This window comes from Homo sapiens, chromosome 12 (assembly GCF_000001405.40).
Source record: "Homo sapiens chromosome 12, GRCh38.p14 Primary Assembly".
In the NCBI taxonomy this organism is placed as follows: domain Eukaryota; kingdom Metazoa; phylum Chordata; class Mammalia; order Primates; family Hominidae; genus Homo; species Homo sapiens.
Window position 1 is genome coordinate 98,829,111 of NC_000012.12, and position 20,226 is coordinate 98,849,336.

Here is a 20,226-nt window from a genome sequence, read left to right on the forward strand (position 1 = left end):
TCACTATTAAAAGGCATTACCTGATATGGTTGAAAAATATCACAAAGGCTTATAACACCTTACCTGAGCCATCTGCCTCTCCAGTTTTGATCGGGGAATATCATCAAAGTAGTTTTCATTTCTTCTCCTCCTTGCATCGCCCTGCATGATAATGTGAGGAACGTCTAGGGAGCCACCAGTGGTGTAAGTGCTTTGGCTAAGTGATGGAGACAACTGAGGAGGAGTGTGATTACCACTGGGTTCCTGAATGGAAATACATCATGAAATAAATACCATGTTCTGTGGCTAACCTTTGGTTTCAAAATTGTGAAATACTGACAAGACAAACTGTGGGGGTGGGGAGTCGCTTTTGAAGCAACAGCCAAGGAATGAATGACATTCCACCACTTTATTAATGGCATGATCTAGTCAATACGTTTTTCCCCTAAGTATTTCAGGTCAAAGGTCTGAAATATCAAGAGTCAGGTTCTGTTTTCCTAAAGCAGCATCATGGATGGTCTCAGGAGGGAGGCACACCTATGTTGGGCACCTCTGACACTACTGCATGTGTTTACAGGGGAGGAACTGGGCCCTCATGTGGGCAGAGCGTCCTCACCATGGTAGATGCCATGATGAGAAAGCTAAAATGAGACCCAATGGGTCTTGATCCTTCATCAAAGAATGGTCTGACAACAGGGTTGGGAAGAGGACACAGTACGGCAACACAGCATGTCACACGCACAGACTGCAGAGCAGTGCATGCTACGACAGAGGATGCTTTTCCAAGGCAAAGACAACTCCATCCAAGGGAAACGGGTCAGGAGGAAGATAGGGGGCATAGACAGCTCAGCTCTACTATTTGCAAGTAGAATGAGGATTGGGATCATGGTGTTTCTCCAGATCCCTTCTCCTCCGGATATTCTGGACCTTCTATGATAGATTTAGGTCCTATACTTTTGCATGGAAATCTCTGTCTTTGATCTTTTTTTGTTCCCCTAAATCTCTTCCAGAGAGCCAGAATGAGAGGTTCAGAAGGGGAAGGAAAAAGAGCAGGGTAAGTAGCAGGAAATGACTCCTCTAAAGAGTCATTTTAGGGTGACTACACTGATGGTGCTTATATCTTTCTCTCCTTCCATGTAGCAAAATGAAGGCAAAACAAAAATCTTTTTTTTTTCTAATTTATTTGAGGCTCCTCTTTCTAAGGGGTGAAATTTCTATTTGTACTTTTATGACTCCCAAAACTCTCAAGTAGCCTCCAAATATCCCAGTGTACCCTAATGCCCCCAGTAATTAATTAAACCAGTATTCATGTAGTCCCTACCCATCCCACTCCAGTCTCTCTCAGGAGGCTAAGCTTGTCCTCCTGGAGCCAATTCTCTTGCATCCCCTGAAATCCTTGCGCATTTTCCTCTCCAAAGCTGAATCAACTCCAAATCCTAACAGCTCCTTTCCTGTCCTGCCCTCTGTTATCCTGACAGTGGCTATGCTGTTTGCTGAAGTTTATTGATAAGAGGCAGCCCACTGCATTTCATCACGATGGTTACGTCCGGGTGCCGTGCTTGTGTTCATCTCTTCAGAAAAGAAATCAGAAGCAAGCAAGTGCAGGACAAAATAGAGAGCAGAGTGGGCACCCCACAGCTTTCAGGGAGATCTCAGCTTTTCGACGAATTTTAGAAAAGTTCTTGTAGGACTCATGAACACCAGTGACTGCCGGCCACTTCTTGCCACTGCCATTTTTGCCTGGAAATCATCTTTCTCACTTCCTCTCTGCCCTTTCCTCCCTCCCTTCCTTCACTTCCTCTTTATTTCTCTCTCCTTTATACAGGTTCTCTTTAGTTTCCTACCTCATAATTTTTTTTTTTTTTTTTTTTTTTTTGAGATGGAGTTTCACTCTGTTGCCCAGGCTGGAGTGCAGTGGTGCGATCTCGGCCCACTGCATCCTCTGCCTCCCGGGTTCAAGCGATTCTCCTGCCTCAGCCTCCCGAGTAGCTGGGATTACAGGCGCCCACCACCATGCCCGGCTAATTTTTTGTATTTTTAGTAGAGTCGGGGTTTCACTGTGTTAGCCAGGATGGTCTAGATCTCCTGACCTCATGACCCGCCCACCTCTGCCTTCCAAAGTGCTGGGATCACAGGCATGAGCCACTGCGCCCGGCCCCTACCTCATAATTCTAAAGTGTAGTTGAATAAAAGAAATACAATTTATTAAGTAAGGTTTTAGATTCTCTATTCTGAATTTTTGAAGTGAGTAAAGCTGGACAAATTTTACTTCTTGAAAAACAGAAGACCCTAAGGTTAATTTTAAATTGATCTTTACTTAACTGTGGTCCTTGATCAATTTTCTTTCTGTGGGTTTGAGGAGTCTGACAGAAAACCCATTTCCGCTCTCTTGGCGTAGATGGGGTGTGGGATGGGAGGTGAGGGAGTGGTTCTTTAAAGGTAGTGGTTTGTCAGGCTGAATTCCATTATAGATGGATATCTAAATCTCAAAAATATATATTTAACCAATCTAGAAAAACAAATCTTGTTGTTTTGATTGTGTCAAACAATCAAAAGACAGATTGTTTTCTACACAGATATGGTAAACTTCATAGAAAAGAGCCAGCACTTCCTGATCTATTGCTTCAGTTGTATAAAGTGCACGTTTATAAAACCTATAAAACTACATAAAATAATTCTTTTATTTTCTTACTCTGTTGCCCAGGCTGGAGTGCAGTGGTGCGATCTCTGCTCACTGCAATGCTCCGCCTTCTGGGTTCAAGTGATTTTCATGTCTCAGCCTCCGGAGTAGCTGGGACTACAGACAGGCACAACCACACCTGGCTAAATTTTTTCTGTTTTCAGTAGAGGCAGGGTCTCACCATGTTGGCCAGGCTGGTCTCAAACAAATAGTTCTTAAGATAAGGGCAGAGAACCAGATGAATGTGCTTGGCACTTACCCTGAGGGTGATGGACCGAGGGGGCTTCTGTGGGGGATCGTCGTGCAGCCTGTCTCCCAGAGATGCCAAAATACGTTTCCTGTGGCCAATCAAATTGATTTTTAAAACCTGAAACAACATATATTTGGGTTAAATATTTCACTGGAGAACAAATAATTTTTATATGTCCTAAAACATGTGGGGTGAAAAAAGATTTGTGCAAAGTTACTCCTGCACCATGAGATGTGGTGTCACTTCAGTGTGACCGCTGAAGTCCAGAAAGATTGCAGTAGCATCTGGAAAGCCTGGAGTGGCTAAGTATCAGGGGCACAAAGAGAAGGGAGGATGGTTCTCCTTCCACTCATGCTGCCTGAGAGCCTCATTCCCAATGCAGCAGCCTCAAGAGAAACCAGCTCTTCTTATAAGCAGCCGAAACCTCACAGGATAAAATCTGAGTCTGGACTCAGGCTTCAGAGGGACAGGCTGCCCTCTGTCTCTTTCCCTCCATCCAGGATATGCAGTCATGCCAGCCTCCTCTAGGTATTAGAAGCTCCACATTCATTCTCACCTTGGGGCCTCTACCCCTGCTCAACCACCTGCCTGGAATGCCCCCTCTCCCCTCTGAGATTTTCAAATAACCAGTGACTTCTCATGGTTCTGGACACTGTGCTGCTGATGTCTCCTCAGAAAGGTCCTCCCCCGCCTCCTTATTGAAGAAGCCATGCCCTCAACCCCTGACATGCTCTCCACGATGATCCATCCTCATTTTATCACACTCTAAAAGCACTTTCTTTACAAGCTTAGTGTTTGTGTTTTGTTCCACCCTCTCCAGGTAAGCTCCCTGAGAGCAGGGCACTGGCATATGTAGAGCACTATTATTTCCCAAAAGCATAAAAGGATGACTAAAAAAAAATAAGGGATTAATGAATATGAAAGAATGAATGGTAATAGAGATGGGAGTTGCAAAATTAGAGTCATCTTGCATAAGGATACAGTTAGAATGAAGGACTGCCTATTGGGGTAGACTCAGAGCCTCCCCAGGATGGTATTTTGAATCTGACCATGCTGCAAAGGGCACATGGTAGAAGAGCTCTCAAAGGGAACTGAGAATTGCAGCGCCTCAATCCTCAGCCCCATTCCCGGTGCTTTACCAGGGCCACACCCCTTTCAATCTTCCCAACTTCTCTATCTGGAAGGAGTTCTCACTTGACAGATGAAGAAACTGTGGTTCCGAGTGGTTAAGTCACCTACCCAAGAGCCAGCATGTCGTGGCTCTGGGATTTGAATCAGATTTGCCTGATTCCAAAGCATGTTTTACTCCAAAGTATACGTCACAAAATTTGGGCATTTCTCCAAATGTTACCAGCTTCTTAAAAACACATTGTATATTCATCCATTCATAAAAATGTGTTTACCTCTTCCCTACCTATGTGTAGTCCCAGGATATAATAATCTTGTTGGGTAACTAGTTTCCAAAGTCGTTATCCCATGTGTACATTTTTCTCTTCTCTTTTCAAGTTTTAAGATAGAAGGTGGGGAGAGCGTTTCTTTGGCAGGCATCCCATGATACCTTGAATTTTTTTTAAATTTCAACTTTTAATTTAGATGTAGGTGGTATATGTGCAGGTTTGTTACATGAATACACTGAGTGATGCTGAGGTCTGGGATATGAATGATCCCGTCACCAGGTAGTATGCATAGTACCCAATAGGTAGTTTCTCAGCCCTTCTTCCCTTCCTCCCTCCCCTCCTTTGTCGTCCCCAGTGTTCACTGTTGCCATCGTTATGCCCATGAGTACTCAACGTTTAGCTCCCACTTATAAGTGAGAACATGCAATATTTGGTTTTCTGTTTCTGCGTTAATTAACTTAAGGGTAATGGCCTTCAGCTGCATCCATGCTGCTGCAAAGGACATGATTTCATTCTTTTTTATGTCTGTGTAGTATTTCATCTACCTTGACTTTTTATTTGCCTATTTGTTGGTTAACTTACGGGCCTTTTGGCCTAAACTGATGTAGATTTTAAACTCACACTACGCCCTATTCCTTTGACAGCCACCCTCTGACCCATGTCTGTTGATGATGAGGAGGGTAAATGTTAGCCAAGGTGAATGTCCCCATGCACCATATCCCTATGATTTTATAAAACCTTCATCTCCCCAGGCTGATTAATCCTAATCTTTGCAAGTTTGTTTTCATAAAGCAGCTCCTCTTTTCCATAAATCATTTCAGTTGACATCCTCAGGACTTTCTCCTACCCTATTATAGCTGCTTAAGGTTTGCTGAAAAAATGGCTCACAATATTCCAGGTGTAAGTGAACCATGGCTTTACATTTATGCAGGATACTGTTTTCTGCTTTTAATACCCGTTTAAAATGTCCTTCCTAAGCACACGTGATTTCTAGCTAGCCTTTTAGCTGCAGTAGGAATAACCAGGGACAAAAGTATACACTGACTATAAAATCCCTTAATTTTGTTATAGCTAATAGTTCAAAGCCCTTTAATCTAGGAGGGATGATTTGAGTTATTTTTCCCTAAATTTCTTATCTTACAGTTGTCCAGGCAGAAGCCCATCTGCCATCCTTCTGCCCACTCACACAGCCCTATGTTAGCTTTTTGCATTTATATTAACCAGTTTGGCATTTCACTACCTGGAAGAGCTTAGTGATTTTTGCATATCTGGAAATTTCACTATGTATTCCTTTCAGATGATTTATAAATATGCTAACTAAGTGTGGCCCTACTGCTGATTACTTGCAGGCAGCATTGTTTATACGATCCATAGAAATGCCCTTATATTCTTGTATTGTTTCTGTTTTTAAGCATCAAGACCAAATAATTCCTCCATCTCAGAAAAAATATGATAACCTTTTCAAAGGTATTTTGCAAGTCTAAATACAGCATATTTTCTAATTCTCTTTTATTCTCATCCTCAATTCCTTTGCCAAAGGCTTCTATTGGATATAAATTCCTCCCATAAAATCTTCACCGCCTTTCTCCCAGCAGGTAGCTGGACCTCATGCTGATGGTACTACCTTGCCCCCTCCCTGAGTCCTGCTAGAAATGTTTTTTATAATAAAGACATTTGCTTAATTATTATTATTATTATTATTATTATTATTTACAAAACTGACACTAAATAACACATAACTGTGGTACAATTGAGCTGATGTAATCCCCACTATTGCTTTTGGTTTACTCTCCCACAACTCAATTTTGGGCAGGTTACCTGACTCCTCTGATCTCAGGTTTTCTCACATATAAAGTGAAGAAGTTAATGACAATTTCAAATGTGGTTGGGAAGATGAAGAGTAAGTTGTGAGAATAACCAGCATAGTGCCTGACACATAGAAGAAGCAACTTTCACAGTGTGCTTATTCCAGTGAATGGGTTCTGAGGGTGCACAGGAATCCTGGCCCAGAAGAACAAGGACTTGTTCATTGTCATAAAGTCAATCATGTTAAACAAATACACTGGAGCTTTGGATGAAGAGATGTGGCTAACCTTGGGAAAGCCCTCAATGAAGTAACTTATCCTAGTAGGAACATGGCTGATTTCTAGCTATTAGTCTGAGGCCAGACCCAATTTAAAAGAATATGCTCTTCTGCCATCCACATCGCTTAATCTTCAATAGGAGGTAAGCTGAGGCACTCCTCTGCACTGAAGCTTCATTGCTGTCTCCTCCATAGAGCTACCCAGATGAGGGTGGACGGATGAATGAATGGATTGATGGATAGATGATAGATGATAGACAGATAGACAGGAAACGAATTAACACAGGATGGTTAGTACTATCAAGATCACCTGGATAACTCTCCTTTTTATCAGAAATGAGCCCCCATCACTGAAGATACTGATGGTAACTTCCATTTACTGAACATTTTCTATACTCTAGTTCTATGTCCTAGTTGTGCTAGAAACTACCAAGTGGTTATACACAAATATAAATATCTCCTGTAATCCTTACAATAGCATACAATAAAACCATTCTCATTTTAGAGATGCAAAATCTGAGATTATGAAATGCTAAGTAACTTGCCCAAGGTCACACTGCTAAGAGGTACATGGCTAGGATGTGCACCTGATTCTTAACCAGCCCTTCACTACTCTCCTTGCTCTTCTTCTTGCTGTTAACCTCTATACCTTTTGACCTTTAGCTACACTATTGGTTATGTCATCATGAGGCTTCTTAAGATGTTGCTTCTTACTTTGAGTTATCATGTTTAAAGCATTTATATAGGGTTTTGAGCATCTGAAAACATTAAAATAATTCACTTTTTAGTAAGGCTTATAGCATTGTTAAAGCTACAGGCTACAAGGGCAGGTACCTCACAGTATTCCCTGTGAAATACACATATAGACCAAGGACAGGAAACCCTCATCACCCAAGATTCAATCCGAGCTGGCTCACTGTGGAGTGGTAGAGAGGGTGACAGTGGGCTTCAAAACGCCCAAGTTGACAGTAAGAAATCCAATTGGCAAAACAATAACAGAGAGAATATTCCAAAGAAAGATGGTCATTATGGAAAAGTCAAGTCTGAAGGTGGCTGGGTTTGCCTTGAGTGAGAAAGGCTTTATAGCAGACTGTCTTTGCAAGCAGATGGGGTTCCTGAGTAGTGGAATCCTACAACCCCAGGCATCATGGGTGATAACCAGTGTGAAAACTTTAGTTTTCAAGAACACCAAAGCAATGGTTACTGCAGTAGAGAAGAATTCTGTGTTTTCGTTACTGTTTGGGTTAAAGTTAACTGTTCAGACAAGAACATAATGGGAGTAAAAGACAAAATAATGGTAATATATTGGAGATTCAGTTATTCTAAGATGTTGAAGCAATTCAGTTCGGCTCAAAAAACAATACTGAATTTCTGCTACCAATTATTTGGAGGATTCAAAGGGGAACGTCTATGAACAGAGCTTACAATATTGGAGAGATCAGGCACAAATAACTACATTATCACACCATTAACTAAGAAAAATTATTATACACATAAGCATAAGAATGTGGCTCCAACTGCTGAGTTCCAATAGATAAGAAATAAAAGTTGGCCAGGCGCAGTGGCTCATGCCTGTAATCCCAGCACTTTGGGAGGCTGAGATGGGTGGATCACGAGGTCAGGAGATCGAGACCATCCTGGCTAACACAGTGAAACCCCGTCTCTATTAAAAATACAAAAAAAAAAAATTAGCCAGGCATGGTGGCGCACGCCTGTAGTCCCAGCTACTCGGGAGGCCGAGGCAGGAGAATCACTTGAACCCGGGAGGTGGAAGTTGCAGTGAGCCGAGATTACGCCACTGCACTCCAGCCTGGGCGATGGAGCAAGACTCTGTCTCAGAAAAAAAAAAAAAAGAAAAAGAAAAGGAAATAAAAGTTATGGCATGTGTTCTTAATGGTTTTTATTACAACTATTGTAAGAGGAATGTGGGTCAAAGGCAAGGAGTATTGTTGAAACCACAGGAGTCAGCCACAGGTGGGTATCCATTCATCACAGCAGTAGCCGCCTCCAGGAATTTTCTCCAGTATCACTTAAACAGGATAATTCCGGAAACCCCACTGTGAATCTCAGCAACAGGAGAATAATCATGCTGGATGACAATCCTATAATATCACGTCACTGCTGTTTATGTTTCTGGGTTTGGCTGTGGGAATTCTGCCAGACAGTATCATGATATACCCTTACATGGAATAGCTTACTTCAGAATATATGTCATAGCAAAGCTGAAAGTCAATGTACTTAAACTTCCTTTTTTCTTTTAAAATTTAATGTGATATAAAATTAAACATGTTTAAATTTATATCACATTAAATTTAACATGTTTAATTTAAACATGATGTAAATGAAGCATTTTTATCTGCTTTTAAAAAAGTAAATAACATTTTGATTATAATAGCTATACTGCTTTCCCATTTTAGACACTTTATAAAATACAGAAAAACAAGTAAGAGAACCAGTAATCCACAAACTATATCTAAATAGATATATTTCATTTCTCCCCCATGATTATGTTTTGTGGTGGTCATATCACGAGTACCATTTTCGCCTTTTCTTCAGTTCTTTAAAGCTAAAGAACTTTTCTACATATACAACTCTCAGTAGACATTTTAACTAACTCCATATTATCACATTATTGTTTCAGAGAAGTATGTCATAATTCACTAAACATTTCCCCTATCATTGAAAATTTTGGTTTGTGCTCCTTTCTGGATAGCAAACATTCCACATGCTTAAATAATTCTATCATCCTACAATTTCCGTTCTCAATGCCATGTTTACATAGACACAGCATAGAAAACACCAAAGAAGACTGCAAGAATCACACAAGTCACGCAGAAAAGTCATGTAGCAACAGTCTGTCTCTATGTTCTGCATGAAATCTCAATCCGTTTATTGCCGGCTGGACCAACTCCTGGGAAAATCACAAACCCACATAATGTTCCTCAGTGCCATATTTTGCATTTTGTTATGTTTTTGGAGTTCAGATTTAGCTGACAGATGTGAAACAGCACATGTAGCTGGAATTCTTCAGAGAGTACACATGCAGCGATGCTGGGCACACAAGCGATTCTAGTTCTCACCACCAGGCGACTGCATCCTTTTTATTTCTAGATTGTTATTGAGGGAGGGAGTTCATCCTGCATTTGGAACTCCCTTCCATTTTAGGGGGTAGATTATTTCCCCTTTCCTTTCTAGATACTTGGCCAACTAAAGAGAACAGCTCCTATGCAAGTCTGTAGAGCTCACCTGGCTTCAGAGTAGCCTCTTCTAATAAAACTGCAAGTGTTCTGAGCAGTTCTGGTGTTCCTAAATGCCAAGAATGGAAGTTGCGGTGGAAACTGATCTGCTTTGTTCTCATCTGCAGAACTAAAATTGCAAATAATTGTCAAAGTTTTCCCCCCTGCCTGATAACAATTTCTAAACACTTTCCACCTGAAAGCATCAAGGCAAAAGTGCCTGTGTAAAATTCCATTTCGAATTCCTGCAATCTTAGAAATCCTCACTTGAACTTGCATACAGTTTTGACCATGACATTTTTCTCTCTTATTTCTTGAACTGCAATAATCCATGTCCAGCATGGGATGGTGAACAGAAAGACCTCAGGAGCAGAAAGTCATGACATTTGGTTCTTCTCTTACTCTTCTTCTAGCTAAGTAATCTTTAATGTCTTTGAGTTGTAATATAAAGGGGACAATAACAGTCTTATTCAACAAATATTTCTTGGATGCCTTTCACATATAACCACCATGTTATGCAATTTGTGAGCCACAAAGAAGAAAAAATATCGAGTCCTCCAGGGCTCTCAATCCAGGCAGTAAAAAAATATTAAAACCATGTGAACGTATGTGTGTGTATATTTGTGTGTATGTATGTAGGCATCTATGTATGTATGTATGTATCTATCTTTCTATCATCCATCCATCCATCTAAATATATACGTCTACACAGCCTTCCCAGCCTAAAAGGGGTTTCTGTGGAATGAATGAGAATGACTAGGAAGCTTATCTGGAAATTATAAAGCACAGAACTAAGGTACTAACTAAGGTATTATTTCTCTTTTAAGTATAACAGAAACTTAAAACTTTCTTACCCTATCAACAATATTTAGATATTACCTTTGATATTTAAATGTGCCATTATGGATATCTCTGGGTAGATTTTAGATCCAGAATCATGCCTTCCACTTCTCCAATCTTCTCTCCTGTTATTTCTTTGCTCCATGTATACACACTTGTGCATATTCCAGAGTGTCTCTGCCTGGATTTTCATTAGAATCTCACAAGGATGAAATCGAGATCCACCTAAAGCCTTGCTTGCTCACCTTGGATTACATAGACCTTTCTCTCTTTGAATTTCTTTAGTATCTGTGGTCTACCCTGTGCTGTTGACACATGATACATCCTGGTGGGTATAGCTAACTCTCTTTTTTTTGCGTATGTGTCTTACCTGATCAACTAGACTCTAGGCGCTGAAAAGTCAGATATAGTGTCACTGCATCTCAGGGTCCCTGAATGCATCTAGCTCACGAATACAACTCAAAGGTGATCTCTAAGATCTCAACTCAAACCCCTGTCAAGGTGGACAACAAATGAAGCAGGGGAGATGTCTCTAAAAGAAAAAGAGGGAAGGAAAATAACACCTATGTCTTATTTCATTCCGTTTCTACTCTCAAGAGTCTTCTATTCTTTCTGAGCTTTGGCACCTTAATTCCTACACACAGTCTTGCCACGGGTGATGCAAAACTTCCTTACATCCCACCATCTGTAACTCTTTCCCTTTACCTCTGCCACTTCATCTAAAAAAAATCCCTCTGACTACAGTTTCCAAATTCCCTTTTCCTTCTGCTATTACTTTCCAAACCAACTGCTACTAAATAATCAGCAAATAACTGTTTGACAGATGCCACCGAAATACAACTGTACTAACCTATGGAAAGGAAAAGAGGTTCCAAGTTATACAGCTCCAGAGAGAGCAAAGGATAGTGAGAAAGAGCGAGGGAGGAGGAATGCGTGTTTTCTGAATGTAGTCTGTCTCATTAAATAGGAAATACTAATTATGAGGAAATGAGATCATCTTTGCATGGAAAGAGAGACCTTAATGGTATAATTGCCTCTGAACATTTAAGGGCTCTGGAGGTACAAAGCCTTCTTTTGTAATCAATGAGAATCTTAGGTTTATTTGTAAAGCTCTCTGAATTACCTCTTGATGAAGGTACTAATTTTCTGATTTTCATGTAAACATTGCTTCAGAAGATTAAAAACACACACAAAACAAAACAATAAATCAGTTCCCAACTAATTTCCCTGAAAGTTACTTTTAAGTAAAGCTTGCTGCCAGTTAAGTTTTTATAGGAGAAATTTGGTTTACATTGCTCAATAACCCAATCATTGGGGTTATTGAAGGAAAAATTTGTTACAAAAGAAAATGGGAAGTATGTGCAACATCCCAGATCTGAAGTTATTCTTGGAGATGTGAAGATGTGCTAATAGCATCTGAAAAGTGCAAATCTCCCTGCAGTACTATGAATACATAAAAATGCTCTGCATCTTAAGAAGTAGAGAGACTGCTGTTTTGCTATATTTTGCTAACCATGCAGGATATTTACTGCTAACGAGGGTATTTTCTAACTTTATTTCCTTTCAATTTTTGAGATCATAAAATTTATGATCAATTATATTGTGTGACTGATGCTCTCAGTATTGTAAAGGAAATTATGGTTACCGAAATTCATTAACATATATCCATATAAAATAAACAGAAACACGCAACATACATGAACACACCCATATTTGTAAAAGAAGCTCTAAGACAAATTGAGTCTCAAGAGACAATCCTAGGTAAGTGAGGGCCTGGTTACTCCGTTTTTGGATTATAAGTGGTCTTTTCTGCTCTGTTGCTGCTCTGCCCCTCTTCTTGAGGTTTAGCTACTTTAATGGCATATAACACCCTCCATCAGCAGACAGAATAGTGAAAGAGGCAGTGAATTCAATCCAGCCAATTCTGTTTCTGTCAGCAGCTCTGATAAAAGGGTTTTATGTGGGAGGAGGTAAAAAATCTACCTAAAACTAGCTAAACTAAAGTTTTAAAAATGCATCCACAGATTTTACTTAGCCTAGCCAGCTACTACTGCACTTTAGAATTGGACATTTACCATATTTCAGCTACGTATGGAGGCAAAAAGGATGTTAAGGTTAAAAGAAAGTATTATAAGGAAAGCAGAGGTTGAGTCCCAAGGATGAGTTCAAAAAGAGGAAAAAAAAAGGGGTAACAACAGTGAGAGAGATTTCTTATCGTCCCTTTTCTCCCTTTGTCCCCACCCCCACCACTATCCCCTTCCTTATCTTCTGGAGAGTCACATCACAGAGTAGAGCTAGGAATCACCCTAAACCCATAAGAATGGCTAATGTTAGAAAAGAATGACCCTACCTCGGATGATAAGGATGTGGAGGAACTGGAACTCTCATCTTGCTGGTAGGATTGTAAATGGCACAGTCACTTTTGAGGAAACTGCCAGTTTCTCAAATTTTGACCCAGTTTTCTAACATATAACCCAGCAAGTTGACTCTAGCTAGCAACTCCTAGCTAAAAATGAATACATATGCCCACATAAAGATGTGTACATGAATGTTTAAGCAACATTATTCATAATAGCTAAAAATTAGCAATAATCCAAATGTCCGATCAACTGGTGAATGGATAAGTAAAATACAGTATATTCATGCAACAAAATACTGCCTAATGATACAAAGGAATGGGCTACATGATACAGGCTATAGCATCAACAGACCTCAAAAACATTATGCTAAGTGAAAGAAGCTGCACACACAAGATGATAGAATATTGTAGGATTCCATTTACATGAGTTTCTAGACAGCATAAAACTATATGTACAGAAAACATATCAGTGGTTATCTGGAGTAGGAATAGGAGCAGGGATTGACTGCAATGAGCATAAAGGAACTTTTTAGGGTTATGGAAATGTTCTAAAATGGGATTGTGTTGATGGTTGGATAGCTGTATAGGTTTACTGAAATTTACCCAACTGTATACATAAAATGGGCGATTTTCATGATGTGTAATTAAATTGCAATGAAGTTGTTTTTGAAAAAAGAATAATGCTGGGAGAATGCATTCAGTATGCAGTATCGTATAAATAAGGCCATTCCTGAAGGCTGTAATCCAGGCTGCTCGAGAAGACCTCTGTTGTCTTGGAATATACCACTTATCAGCTGGATGGAAGGGTGAGCAACATATACACTGCAGGATGTCTTAAGGAAAATGTGACCTGCAGGGTAGCTTTGTTCTAGGAGCCTAGTACTATTTAACTATAGGCTAATAGATCAGTAGCATATTCTTTATTATAAGTGCACAATACAGTAAATTAGTACGACTTTCCTATGTATGTATATTTTTGAGGGTCTTAATCCTCCAAGTCATAACACTTCAGTAAAAATGTTTATGCTTTCTAAGTACTTACAACAAATGGCTTATGGATGTTTGCGGAGTGATCACTAGGAGCCAACATGGGTTCTCTCTGGATGGGTAACAGGTGGTGATCATGAGATGACACTCAAGAACCAGAGAATAAGGTTGCATTCTAAGCACCAAATTAATCACATCAACAGTGCTATGATTTGAGTTTTCTCTGACAAAAACTCAGCTTTAAATTGGATCTCCAATGTGGCAGTGTTGGCAGATGGGGCCTAATGGGAGATATCTGGGTCATGAGGTGGCGAATCCTCCTTGAAATAACTTATGCCATTCTCTCAGGAGTGAGTGAGTTCTTGCCCTGGCAAGACTGGATTAGTTGTCACAGGGATGAATTAGTTCCTGCAAGAGTGGGTTGTTAAGAAGCCAGGACATCCTGTGGGTTTTGCCTCTTCACACGTCAGCTTCCCCTTTAACCTTTCACCATGTTGTGATACAACACCAGAAATTCTCACCAGAAGCTGAGCAGGTGCTGGCACCATGCTTCTTGAACTTCCTAGCCTGCAGAACCATGAACTAAATAAACCTTTTCTTCTTTATAAATCACCCAGTCTCAGATGTTCTGTTATAGCAACACAAAACAGACTAGGACAAACAAAGCGACTGGAGTCAGAATGACTTTCTAGCCCATGAAGAGTCAATGAAATAGACTGGCAGTGTGACTACAGTTTAATCGGTGATACTGAAACCCAGCTAAATAAAGAAGGTGTGCCAGGGTGGGGTGGAGAAGCAAGGGTAGAGGGCATATTGAAGCAGTGAAACTATCTAGCTTTGGCAGCAGCATGGGGAGACACTGAATCTTAACATAAGTAAGCTCCCTGATTACTCAAGGGGTTATTTTATCAGGTTTTGTACTGATCTAAATGAAACATCCCTCAAAATTCCCTTTCCTTCAATACCACATGTACCAGGAAGCAGTAATTGCTGAATCAGTTTTCTGAGTGCCCAGATATGAGAAGAGGAAATGTTGAAGACGGGGGATCAGGGAGGGGAGCATTTGGTCAGAGAATCCTTCCCATCATGTATTAACAGAATGGACATCTTGATACATTGATCTCTCCTTAATTAAATTAAATCCACACCACCGAGGCACAGAACCTGCTCAGGAGGGCATAGTGATTAAGAGCAGGGCTTGGTGTCAGGATGACCTGAGTGTGAGTGTTGGTACTGGCATTTACTCTATATGCCTTTTGGTCAATTACTTAACGTCTCTCAGTATCACCTAACTTGTGTAAAATGATGGAGCTAAGAAACAGTATTCGCCTCTTAGTGTAATTGTTAGGATTAAATGAGACATATGCAATGCATTTAGCACAGTGCCTGGTATAAAATGAGCTTCATAAAATTCTAACTTCATTCAGTGTTTTGATTAAGCCCAGTTTCTGAAATGGAAGGGCTGAGCCCTCCCCTGGAACCCCACCAGAAGGAGCTCAGCAGCCAGCCATGCACCTTTTCCCTGGCAACAATCCCTGCATCATCAGCCACTCTTCAAACTTTGGTGGCCTCATTGAAAATCAGTTTTTGCCAAACTTTATTGACTTTCTTTTTTTGACAGGTATTAGTATGAGGTTGACAGACCAGGAGAATGTCATAGATATAGTGTCTTTGATTCCAATAAAGCACTTGATGAAGTCTTTCATTATCTGCAAGATGGTGGGCTCTATGAGGGAAAAATTAAGTGGATTCACAGCTGGTTGTACATCTATAGCCAAGAGGCTTGATGAATGGCTCTGTCATAACCTGTTGGGGGACCACTGATTGAATGCCACAGGCTCTGCCCCTGGATTCTGCTCTATTCAATATTTTTATTAATGGCATCAAAATAGACATAAGAAGAATACTTATCAGATTTTTCAATGACATAAAACTGTGAAAAATATTTAATATAATAATAGGCTAATGTAAAATTCAACATTCTCTCAACGGGCTGAAAAGGCCAAGCTGACACCAAAAAGATGCAATTTAACAGGGATAAATATAATGTCTTACATTAAGGATCCAAAAGAAATCAATTGTTCAAGTTCAAGATGGGAAAGATATGGCTGTGCCACAGTTCAAAGAAATAGCTGAATTTTTAGTTAAACGTAGGAAGGGGTTTAGCAGAAAGAATGCAAAAGTATGGGTCTAATGGGGAGGGAATGAACCCATTTAGAATAATTTTACCAAATAAATAATCTCATTTACCTTGCTATTACAACCTAACAAGGCTGGTAATTACCTTAACTTTAGAAATGAATTAACTGAGGTTCAGGAATTTAAGGAACTTGTCAAAGTGATGACAAAATCAGGATTTGAATCCAGTTCCGACTTCCAAAATTTGTGCACTTTGGATTCATTCTATCTTGCTGCCACTTCTCTCCCAGAGATGCTGTGTGGCTCAAGTGAGACAATTTTAATGGACGTACCTAGCACAGTGCCTGGCTCCTACCTTCTGCTCAAAAGTGGCTGATTATTTTTCTCCCAGAGACTCATTAAATGTAAGGCTGGGTGCTTATATGAACAACCAGTACTTTATTATTATAATATGAACTCTGCAGTCTATTCTAAGTCTTTTCAAGTTTATCCATTAATATACCTAGTGCAGAAATGATTCTGTTGATTTTTATTCTCTCATTCACCATTATTTCCAAATCCTTAATGCCAGAAGAGGAAGTCCAGCCTGGAAAAGGCACTGGAAAATTTGAGGGCAATCTAAAAATCTCTGTCAGTCAGTAATGATTCCCAGATAATTAAAACTTTTTTTTTTTTTTAATTAAGGTAACTTTCAAGGGCTGCATTAGTGGTTCAATGCTGCGTATTAACATGACAAAAACCTCTATTACCTTTAGATAATGAGGTGGTGTGTTAAGTAACCTTAGTACAATGATATGCATACAGAATGTACAAAATTTTCAATTAATTCAATTATTTAATTAGTTTAGCTTATGGTTAAAAAGATACTTTTTTTTCTGTTGTTGGAGGTCTTATTAGAATTCTTCATATATATATATATACACACACACACACACACACACACACATATATGTACACATACACACATATATATATATGTATATTTTGTTCTTTCCTGCCTAAGGGTGGTTTATTGACAGTCTTTAATTCTTCCCTAGATATCTGGAATACTGCATTGCATCTGAGTCATGCTCTGTGTAGACTATTTGTCACTGGGCCACAGTGCTGCTGCAAAAGGTGGCTGAGGAATGCACACTGGCTCCAGCAGTATCCTGTAAGATTTAGCTCTTTTAAATAAAGGAATTCTTAGGAGCAGTTAGTTTTCATTGCCTCTTGCACTAAAAGCAAGGCCTGACAACATTAGCTATCCAAAAGTTCCAGTTAATGAAGGTTTCATTGTAAAAAAGAATCCATTTGGGGGAAGGTGCAAACTCTTTGTAATTTTCTCTCCCTCTTTCTCTTGGCCTAGGCCAGCCATGGTTCACAAAGCTGGAGAATGGAGAATCATTAGCTGCTGATGGTGCTGGTCATCCCACCCTGGCAAGGAAAGGAACAGGTATGTTGAGTGACCAGGTTGACCTGTGCAGTGGATGAGCCGAAAACCTCTTTTGTAAGCTGTTTTGTAAAGATATGGAGACAACTGATGATTCTGGAGGTGGAGGATGCTTTGAGGGCCAGAACACACACTCTGCAATAAAGCAGGTCACTTCCTTCAGGTTTTAAGCTAAAATGTGAACACATCAGTGGACTTTCACATAAGCTGTGCTTTCTTTCTGGAATGTCTCCTTTTCCTCTTCTCCATCTAGTGAACCTCTACTCATCTTCTACTCTTTCGAGTTAAATACTACTTTTGAACAAATAATAGCAAAAGAACAATTAACGGCAACAGAACTTTGGAATGACAGTTATCAAACTAGTCCTGATCCATAAACAAAAGTCTACTTAGCACATTGTGTGAAAAAATGAAGTCTCTTTGTTTTTATTTTCTTAAACCACTTTATTCCAGTATGACTGACATGTAAAAGGTTGTACGTATTTAATGCATACAACTTGATCAATTTAGGGATAAGTACATACACATCAAACCATCACCACCATCAAGACTATAAGCATACCCATCAGCTCCCAAATTTTCCTCCAGCTCCTTTCATTATTATTATCATCATTTTTGTGTGTGTGGTAAGAATACTTAACATAAGATCTCCTCTTCTGGCAAATTTTAAATACACAATACACTATTGTTAGTTACTGGAACTATGCTACAGTAGATCTCTAGAGCTTATTTCTCTTGCATAAGTAAAATTTTCTATTTAACCATCACCTTTCCATTTCTGCCCCCAGCCCCTGGTAACCACCATTCTACTGCCTGCTTTTACGGGTTTAGCTATATTAGATTCCACATTGAAGTGAGATCATATAGTATTTGCTTTCTGTGCCTGGCTTATTTCACTTAGCATAATGTCCTTCAGGTTCATCCATATTGTTGCAAATGGCAGGATTTCCTTCTTTTTCATGGCCAAATAATATTCCATGGTATGTATACACTACATTTTCTTTATTCATCTAATGATGGAAATACAGATTGATTCCTTGTCTTAGGACATTGTGACTAATGCTGCAATGAACACGGGAGTGCAGGTATCTCCTCAAGATCTTAATTTTTTTTCTTCTTTTGAGATGGAGTCTTGCTCTGTCACCCAGGCTGGAGTGCAGTGGAGAGATCTTGGCTCACTGCAACTTCTGCCTCCCGGGTTCAAACGATTCTCCTGCTTCAGCCTTCTGAGCAGCTGGGATTACAGGCATGCGCCACCATGCCTGGCTAATTTTCGTATTTTTAGTAGAGAGGGGGTTTTGTCATGTTGGTCAGGCTGGTCTCAAACTCCTGACCTTAGGTGATTTGCCCGCCTCAGCCTCTCAAACTGCTGGGATTACAGGCTTGAGCCACTGCGCCTGGCCAAGATCCTAATTTAAATTTGTTTGGATAAATATCCAGAAACAGAACTGAAGAATCATATGGTGGGTCAATTTTTAATACATGTTTATTTTGTATCAGGTTGCAAATTTGTTGATCAAAATTATGAGTTCAAGATGAAAAAGTGAAAAGTAGAGCAATGCTTTCTAAGAAATAGATACTGAATCATCAAATGGAAAAGTAATATCCCCACTTGCTAATTTAATTCATCATAATTTACAAGTCTCTAATGAAAACCAAGCAACAAACAATGACTTAGTATTTGTTAGAAAACAGTTTAATCTCCAGTTGTCACTGAACTCATTAGCAACATATGTCATTCACACACAGTGAGGAATTATTAATTTTTCATTTCAAGAAAATTGTCAAATTAAGCTGGATAGAATAACAACATACAATAAAAAAATTGGTAATTTATTCTTATATTGCCCTAGAATGATGATAGTGTGTGGCATGTCATTAATTAATAAACATAATATTATTCACATAGTGGGCCCTTGATATCCATGAAATGTGTAATTAATGATGAAAATGCTATAGTGTTACTATCACACTTACTGATCACATCGAAGTTTTTTCCACCCACACTTAAATTAAATCTCCCTGAAATCCCTGGTTCAAATTTCATGAGATTCAAGTAATTTGTGATTTTTTTTTTTTTTTTTGATGCGGAGTCTCGCTCTGTCGCCCAGGCTGGAGTACAGTGGCATGATCTCAGCTCACTGCAACCTCCTCCTCCCAGGTTCAAGCAATTCTCCTACCTCAGTCTCCAGAGTAGCTGGAATTATAGGTGCATGCCACCATACCTGGATTAATTTCTGTGTATGTGTGGTTTTTTTTTTTTTGAGACGGAGTCTCGCTCTGTTGCCCAGGCTGGAGTGCAATGGCGTGATCTTGGCTCACTGTGACCTCCGCCTCCCAGATTTAAACGATTCTCCTGCCTCAGCCTCCCAAGTAGCTGGGATTATAGGCGCCTGCCACCACCCCTGGCTAATTTTTGTATTTTTAGTAGAGATGGGGTTTCACCATGTTGGCCAGGCTGGTCTCAAACTCCTGACCTCAAGTGATCTGCTCACCTCGGCCTCCCCAAATGCTGGGATTACAGGCATGAGCCACTGCGCCTGGCCTGATTTGCGATTTTTCATGAAGAATTTTTTAAAGGCCAAAGTTCATCCTCAAGATAAGAAAAATGATTGTTTGCCATAGAATTCTTCTAATCTCAACTTTTAAAAGAATTTATTAACATTTCAGGTCAAATGCCTCAAATGTTGAAATCTCATATTTTAATTCTTTGAGATGAAGTGTTTTCCCCAGCATTTCTTTTTTTTTTTTATTTAGATTTAGTCTTAACTCGCATCAAGGTTTATAAAAAATGATATTTCTATTTCATGAGCATGGACAGAATGTGTTGAAGCCTCCCTGCAG

The 20,226-nt window shown here is 39.7% G+C and overlaps 1 protein-coding gene across 73 annotated transcripts in view; it reads right to left on the reverse strand.

Moving 5' to 3' along the window:
• ANKS1B (ankyrin repeat and sterile alpha motif domain containing 1B) overlaps positions 1-20,226 on the reverse strand; it is a 1,250,151-nt gene that overhangs the window by 94,325 nt on the left and 1,135,600 nt on the right. For 46 of the 73 annotated variants that reach the window (XM_006719507.5, NM_001352197.2, NM_001352196.2 and 43 more), the window contains 2 exons: positions 2,919-3,026; positions 64-243 (listed from right to left, as the gene is read on the reverse strand). The exons of 6 other annotated variants lie outside the window; for them this stretch is intronic. In XM_006719507.5, the coding sequence (XP_006719570.1) occupies positions 64-243; positions 2,919-3,026 (288 nt within the window). The remainder of the gene's footprint in view (positions 1-63; positions 244-2,918; positions 3,027-20,226) is intronic. 21 more of the 73 variants (XM_006719514.5, NM_020140.4, NM_001352216.2 and 18 more) reach the window with 2 other exon arrangements.